Genomic DNA, 8,407 nt, shown 5'->3' on the forward strand with positions numbered 1-8,407 from the left:
AGTGCGTTGGCTGGCCAGGGAGGGTGCAAGAGAAAGAGGAGGAGGTGCCAGGCTCTTCTTAACAATCAGATCTCGCGATAACTAACAGAGTGAGAACTCACTCGTTAGTGTGGGAGGGCGCCAGGCCACTCATGAGGAATCTACCCCCGTGACTCAAACATCTCCCACTAGGCCCCCACCTCCAGCATTGGGAGTCACATTTCCACATGAGATTTGGAGGGAACACACATCCCAACTGTCTCAGGTGGTGTGAAATCAAATGCACTATTATGTGCTAAAGTATCCTGGAAACTATAAACACATAAATGGTTCTTTCCTCGCATAGTATTTATGGAAAATATGAGCCCAGAGAGGCTGCGCTGCTCTTTGGGGCTCAATCCTACTTCTTCGTCGGCTCTTTTACATCCCGAATTACTATGCTGTCCCCATAGTTCCTCTTGTTTTATTGACTTAGTTTCTCTATTAAACTCTCCAGGCTCTCTCCTCCGGTCTCCGTCTTTCTCTCCCACTGCTCCAGCCTCCTGGGAACCCTGCCTAGAGTCCACACTTGGAAGAAAATATCTGCAGCAGCAACTCCCATTGTACATTATGAGTATTCGCACCCCTAGGGAAGACAAGAGTGTTTTTAACCCACATGTAATAGTAAAGATTTTCTCGAGTTCCCATTTCCGGAGATACATTTTTTTACCTGGGACTGGAGTTGGGAGAGGCTGCTACTCTTCGGACCTGCGGCTTCTTCTGCTTCCTGATTCGAGTCCCTGTGATAAAAGGCCCCAACCCATGAGGGGCGGGAGGAGTTGAGCGCAGCGATGCCTGTGGCCAGTTGGGGGCAGCAGAGGGCAGCAGAGCAGGAATCACGAGGTGCTGGCAAAGAGGGCGGGTGGTGCTGCAGCTGCAGTGAGAGGCCCTGGGTGGAACGCGTGGCCACTGGGTCTGCTCTGCCCCAGATCTCCAGGCCACACTTTCTGGACTGGCCTGGATTAGACAGCAAAGACGTGGGAACTGCTTCCAGAAGGCCAGTGGAGAGAACATGTCGGTAACAGTGTGACAACATGGTGGTTCCAAGTGACAGACTCAATTTGAACCAGACAAGGCAAAAAGAAGACTATGGCTCACGGAGCCCGGGTTTCAGGGACAGTTGCAACCAGGAACTCCAATGCTATCAGGACCATCTCCCTCCTCTCTCCGTGTTGGATTTATCCTTTCCGCCTGCAGATTTGTTCCTTCCAGGGACCGGAACCACTGCCACCAGCAACTTTTGGCTCAGATGTTCTGTGATCTGTTGTTTTCCCTCAGTTCTGATGGGACAAACCTCAGGGGAGGACCTTCCATAGTCTCAGCGTAGTGCAGTCATGCTCTCCCCTGTGGCTGGGGGTGGCGTCCTCTGACTGGCAGCCAGGGCTGCATCCGGAGCACTCTCCAGGTGAAGGGCTCTCTCTGTGGAGGAATAGATGGGCGCCATTCACATCAACACAGCCTGCGGCGGTGTCCAACACCTTCCCTTCGGCACAACGGCACCAGCCTATGTCTCTGATTTGTGAACTGACTTTCAGAAATCAGGGTGGCAACTTCACCCACCCCTACTCTTCCTGAAATGAAGGGACAGTGTCCTAGGAGGACCGCAGCGTGTCTCTCCATCTTTTTTTGTTTGTTTGTTTTTTGAGACGGAGTCTCTCTCTGTCACCCAGGCTGGAGTGCAGTGGTGCCATCTCGGCTCACTGCAACTTCTGCCTCCCGGGTTCAAGCGATTCTCCTGCCTCAGCCTCCTGAGTAGCTGGGATGACAGGCGCGCGCCTCCACGCCCGGCTAATTTTTGGATTTTTAGTGGAGACAGGATTTCACCATGTTGGCCAGGCGTTTCTCCTGACCTCAGGTGATCTGCCCGTCTCGGCCTCCCAAAATGCTGGGATTACAGGCATGAGCCACCGCGTCTGGCTGTGCCTCTCCATCTTAAATTCACCTCTCTGCCGGTTGCCTTGGTGAAAGTGGATTCAAGGAAGGGGTCATCATGAGAGAGTGCCTGAGCTGAAGGGCAGGAGAGGAGAGGAGGGGTCTGAGCACCTCAGCGAGGCCTCAATTAGGATCAGCAAATAAGAGATTGTTGCAAATGTTCTGCAAGATGCATTGTATAGAGCGATTCACTGTGTGCCTGACATTTCCTGATAGCCCTGAAAGCTAAGCAGGGGCTGCTTAGCATTGCAATAAATGTCACCACCTGAACATTATTAGTGGTGTCTTCTGACCTGCCGGGTTATCTGGTGAGTCAAAGATGACGGGGTCGGGGGGGGGGATCTGTGGAGATTTTAGGAGATCCGAGTAGTGTCCTGGAGCCCCCAGAGGAGGAGGCAACAAAGGATGGGGAGAGTGGTGCCACACACATCTGGGTGCAGGATCTGCTACGAGTCTGGTGGTTGGGGAGGCGTGGGGAGACAGGACTGAGGGACCTGGCCAGAACTTCGGGCAGCTTTTACCCAGATTCCTTACATGTGTAAAGCATTCAAATGCACCACCTTGTTTGACCCTACCAGCCTTTGGTTCCATTTTACTGTTGAGGAGACTGAGAGAGAGAGAGAGAGAGAGACAAAGACTTGTTTAGAAATCCCAAAGTCAGTCAGCAGAGTTAGGACTGGGACTCAGGTTTCCTGGTGCCCAAACCAGGCCACTCTTTGTTCTCTGGAGGGTGGAACAGAGGCAGCTGGAACAGGAAAAAAAAGAAGGCAGCTGCTGGGACACAAGCATAGACATCTGGGGATGGAGGTCATCCAGCAGGCGGCACCCGGGTCCAGGCCTTGCAGCACACTGCAGGGTGCGCAGGGGAGCTCTGTAAAGTGAGTCCCTGGGGCTGCCACACTGAGAATTCCCCATTGCTGAATGCCCTTGGAGCAAATGGGTGTGTATTGACTTTTCCTGCGGATGATTGCATCCTGCCTTTGGGCACCTTCTGCACACCCAGGTCTATCTCCTGAGCTCCAATCTACATCTGCATCTGGAACATCCCCATTAGAAAGCCCGCAGGCAGCTCACACTCCCTACCTCTCAACCTGTCCACTCTTCCTCCATTCCCCCAAACTGCCCCTTCTCTGGGGTCTGCCCTCTCTGTGAAAGGCATCTCCCCCAAATCATTCAAGTCAGAAATCTGAGCATTGCCCTCAAGCTCCACTCCCCGTCTGCCCTAAATCCAGTTAATCATCAAGTCTCCTGGATTCCTCTTCCTTAATATCACTCAAATACACCCTGGCACAGGTCCCATCCTGTGCCAGGTAAGCCAGACCATGGAAGCTGGAAGGGCTTCTCCAAGCAAACTTCTTCCCAGGAGATGGCAGGGGTCTCCACTTGCCGGTGCTGAGGTTGAGGCACGAGGAGAGATGCACCCACTGGGGAGGGGGCAGCAGACTTGGCATCCTTTGATGAGGGAAAGTGAGCACGGAACAGAACTGTTGACAGACTCCAGGCTGCTATATTGGGAAGATTTGACAACACACACAAGGAGAGAGTGAGGGTGCGTTGATGGCTGGTGAGAGGCGCGGGGGCCAGCTGGGGACGTGCTGCCACCACCCACGCAGGAGGAAGTTGGGAACAGATTGCTTGGGACCTATGCCAGCCTCCTGAAGAGCCATCCACTTCCTTCCCTCTCTCCTGGCTCTGGCACCTGCCGAGCAATCGGGGAAGGGGCTGCCTGGTTGTAGCCAGTCTGGCCAGCGACATGGGCTGTGAGGGTGTGTGCTGGGATGAGAATCTAGCTTTGCACGGAGGAGCCTCTGCCATTTGGCCTGATTCCCCCACCCCATCCCTTCCCATCCAACATCAGTCTGCATCTTTCTATTCCCATCCTGTCTCTCTCCCTTTCCTATCTCCCACCCGTATTTATCAGTACAGGACATTTCTTCAAGTTTTGTTTGTTCCTGTCTTACCTTGAGTGGACGAGGAAACAAGAGAGTGAATTTTATTTATTTTAGTGTTTGGGGTGATAATTAATCATACTCTGACTCGCCTCCCCGTCCCCCAGCTGATTAGGGACCAACTAAACAATTACATAGGAATGGGGCAGATGGAGTTCAAAGTATCAACTTTACCATTAATACTATCAATACCAGTTAATACTATCTAGAACCATCTGTGCAGTGAGAGGGGATTCCTGGCTACAGTCATGGAGAATGTGGCTTGGAAGTGTGGTCATAACTGGGCCTCCAAGACCTCCTTCTCCACACTTAGCATCCAGAAACAAGCAGAACTGGACAACAGCAGGTCTCTCCCAGGGGGTAGTCTCAGGGGCCAATCCACCTTGCACGTTCCTTCTCCCCAGTCTCCCATCAGATGAATCATTCCCTATTGCGTCAATAGGGATCTTTCTACTTCAATACCCCTGGACACATGTAGGATTGCATTTCCTGACCCCACAAGGTTGAGCAAGACCTGGCTGTAAAGTAAAAATGTAAATGATTTCTAAGTATTAGTATCTTCCTCCCTGCCCAGATGATATAGAGAAGTTGAGAGAACAGTGATTAGACTCCCACATCACTGACTAGGAAATAAGAAAATGAGAAATAGCCTCCTTTGAAAGGGCTAGAAGTGAGAGTTCAATTCATTGAACACGTGCTGGTGGCTTGGAGAGAATTGAAACTGGCCATCTTTAATTCCTCTGATTTTAATTTATTTATTTTAGGGACTGTTCTGCAACACCACTTCATTTATTCCCACCCTATCTCCTGGAGTCCTCTGAAATGGGATCTCTATTCTCACTGGACCAGCTCTGTCTCCTAGGGCAGGGAGTGTGGGGAAGATAATAGATTCTAAGAGACTGGCAAGTTTCTGCCCTTCCTCCATCTTCTCTTCCCCTCTGTGAAGAGCATTAGGAGTACATCTGTGAGGGACCCAGCACGTGGGATGGGCTGAACTTGTCTTGTTGGCCCCCCATCTTCCTGCCTGGGTCCCCTTTGGCTCTCCCTGCCTCAACTCTCTCATTGTCGCCTGGCCTCCTTCTCAGTTCTCCCCATCACATGCCCACCCGGCTTCCTGACCTGGCTGGAATCTGAGTATGTTCACAATGACCTATTCTCTGGAAAACTGCTGGTGCTGGTGAGGTCGGTGATCACCTGCTTCGTAAGCTTTTTTTTTTTTTTTTTTTTTTTTTTTTTGGAGAGGAGTGCAATGGCGCGATCTTGGCTCACTGCAACCTCAGCCTCCCGGGTTCAAGCGATTCTCCTGCCTCAGCCTCCTGAGTAGCTGGGATTATAGGCACCCACCACCATGCCTGGCTAATTTTTGTATTTTTAGTAGAGACAGGGTTTCACCATGTTGGCCAGGCTGGTCTTAAACTCCTGACCTCAAGTGATTCGCCTGCTTCGGTCCTCCCAAAGTGCTAGGATTACAGGTGTGAGCCACCACGCGTGGCCAGCCAGGCACTTTTGTCCCTCATGCCTCTCAGTGACAAGGGGTCTTAACTGCCATTCAGAGACCTGGGACAAAGTCCAGCGATGAACGAGTTCCTGGGAGGAAGGACTTGAGCAGAACTTGTTGATGGCATGTGTGTTGGGGGTGGGGCCACAATCTGTGAAGACCCCTAAGCTGACCAGTTAATAGTATCTAGAACCACCCGGGCAGTGAGAGGGGATTCCTGGACTTAGGGTATTAGAGTCAGATGTCTGACCATGTTTTGACTCTGACAGTTAGTAACCGTATGACCTTGGGCAAGCCCGTTCACCTTGTGGGGCGTCATTGTCCCATTGTGCAATGGGTGCCTGTGGCCCAAGTGACTCCCTGCAGGGTCCACCGATGAGAGCATGGCTGAGAGGAGCCCTGGAGCGCCAGATGCTCTGCAATTGCCATTGACACTAGGGACTGGCAATTCTCACCAGTCATCACCTCTGACATTCTGGAAGACAGCCGAGTCAGGTACCCAGGGCAAGGACAGGGCTTCTATCTGGGGCACCCTGGAGGACTTTGTGGAAGAAGCCTACCTGCTGGTTGGGCCCGGAGGAGGGTCAGGATTTCAACAAGCAGAGACAGAGGCATTTCATGCCAGGGGTAAGGCTCATGTGGAGGTTGGCAGGCTGAGGGGGCGCTACCTAGAGGTGGGCATTGAGGCATGTGGGTTGATGTATGAGGTTCCTTGGAAGAGCAGATTTGCAGAAATTCTGGCATCTCAGGCCAGGGAGGCTGGAGAGCTCAATGTGGCCAACTCATTGTTTTCACAGATGAACAAACCAAGACTCAGAGAGGGGCAGGGGCATTAGTGCTCCACAGCGAATTGGACAGCTCAGAACTGGGATCCATGGCTCCCGATTCCTCCAATTCCAGAGGCCTCGAATGCCCAGCTAAAGCACTGGATTTGATCCTGCTGCCCCTGGGAAGGATTGGATGCCTTCTGAGTGGGGAGGCATTGCTGAGAGACAATAGTGGACAGATGGGTTGTCTTTGCCTCGTGTCTTGTTGCCCCTGGGTGAGCACGGGCCCTTTCGGCCTATGACACAGACATCCCGGGGTCTGCTCGGTGTTGTGCCCTCCTCAAGTCTGGATACTGAGGTGAACCGTGGGCCCGCCTCTAGATTGGATGTCCCCAGTCCTGGCTGCATGTCAGAGTCACCGGAGAGCAGAACAAAAGAAAGATGCCCAGCCCAGCTCAGGGCTGTGAAACCCACTCTCTACAGGCGACTCCCTCCGGGCCAGCCTGGTCCTCAGGGTTCCATGAGGAGATCACAAAGTCCTCCTGGAGGAGGAGTCTGAGAAGAACATGCTGGAAGTGTGACTTGTTATAGCTGTATTTGAGGAAGCACATGACGAGGGCAGGGATGGGCCACGTGTGTCAAACACCCCAGCCCAGACCTGCTGAGCTGCACATTTCCATCCCATCCCATGCCCTGTCGGAGGCTCCTCACCCTTCGGCAGATTCTAATGATACAGCAGGCCCTGCCATCTCCATCTGCCATGAATTGCTAACTATTGCTGCCTCTGTTATAGTCATTAGCAACTCAACATTAATATCCCCCACGTCCATCACTGCAGTGATTAGGATCCTGGACTTGCGGGGTGCCTCACTGGCGGGGGGGTGTGAGCTGGATCCCCAGGGCCTGGCTGCCCTGCCCTGAGTGGGTGGGGAAGGAAGGGGACAGGCCAGCTTGTTAAATCTAATTACCTGGCTCCAGACAGCCGGCCCGAGCTCTTCTGAGAGCCGGCTCTGCCCACCGTGTAATCCTCTGCCTGCCTCTCCGCCATAACGAGCCGGCCCGCCACCAGCTGCCACGCGGCTAGATGGGGCTGAGTTTAATTGCTACCCCAAATGTCAGCCCTTTCAAACCCACAGTATTTCATCACTTACCTTTAAAGAAGAGGGGAAAAAAATCAATTTGGATCGTGAGTTTTGGCAGCAAAGCCTGCAGAAAGGGCTGCCCAGTTCTTCAGGGGAGCGGCTCTTTTCATTAAAATAGCTATTTTTAAAACTCTCTCTCTCCCTCTCTCTCTCTCTTTAACACGAGATGAAAAATCCCAGCTACAAGAAGAAACCCTTTCATGAAGGAATAATAATATAAAAAAAGAGTGTAAAAAAGCCCACTTCTAAAATGGGTCCCCTTTTTTTTAACCTCTCAAAGGTTAAAAAAAGAAAAGAAAATGGTTTTATTCTCAAAGGGCTTTCACACGTGTGATCTCGTCTCAACCTCACGGAAGCTTGGAGTGCTGGGGGAGGGCAGGTGTCATTGTCCCCATTTTACAGATGAAGGAATGAGGCCCCAAGATGAAGGAATAAAGGCTCTGCTGCGGGGAGGGTGGTCATGCATCTATTTAGGGTGCAGGAAAAAGAATCCCCATTTTCTACTTTCCTGACTGGACTCTTCTTATGGGACCACGTGTCCTGTCCCCAGATACACCCACATGCCAAATTCAAGCTATTTACCTACTAGTCAGAAAGTAGAAAAAGGGGACACTAAAAAAAAAAACAACAACAAAAACAACCCACAGAGACTCGTTGGAGTTTAACACTCATTTAACTCTCCGTGAGATCACAGCCATCCTTTCTTCCCTGGGGAGAATTTTCTTCCCCATTCCTTTAGAAGAAAGGAACGTAATTCTTTTGGAGATTACATTCCCTGTAAACTGGTTTCTTAAGCTCCCGCCTGAGGAAGTGTTCCAAAGTCTGCAGACTAATTAACCCCATTGTTCAGAATTAATCACCTCAGGAATATTTGGAGTCAACAAGAAATGTATCAATTGGGCTCTTAATAAACCTAATGAAACGACTCAACATAAAGGCATATGAAATAGACTTTTAAAACATTAGCATAAACCACCAGCCTCTCAGAGCTCTCGGCAGCACAATCAATCTTAATTGACACTTTATTAGCACCAAGAATTGCTATCAACTTGGCAGGTCCCCCCATATTGCCTGCTGAAATAATAGATGAAGTGTTTTTTC

The 8,407-nt window shown here is 51.2% G+C and overlaps 2 annotated features.

Annotated features, from left to right (window-relative positions):
• Positions 751–840: an enhancer, noted in NCBI's record as "active region_761". NCBI's record gives its function as "activates an Ori minimal core promoter by ATAC-STARR-seq in GM12878 lymphoblastoid cells {active_cell/tissue: GM12878}" and the evidence as "EXISTENCE:reporter gene assay evidence [ECO:0000049][PMID:35858748]".
• Positions 6,101–6,885: an enhancer, noted in NCBI's record as "H3K4me1 hESC enhancer chr1:37174760-37175544 (GRCh37/hg19 assembly coordinates)". NCBI's record gives its function as "activates a minimal SCP1, AML or CMV promoter by ChIP-STARR-seq in naive H9 embryonic stem cells {active_cell/tissue: H9 hESC(naive)}" and the evidence as "EXISTENCE:reporter gene assay evidence [ECO:0000049][PMID:30033119]".

The sequence above is a fragment of the Homo sapiens genome, chromosome 1 (assembly GCF_000001405.40).
Source record: "Homo sapiens chromosome 1, GRCh38.p14 Primary Assembly".
Taxonomy (NCBI): Eukaryota; Metazoa; Chordata; class Mammalia; order Primates; family Hominidae; genus Homo; species Homo sapiens.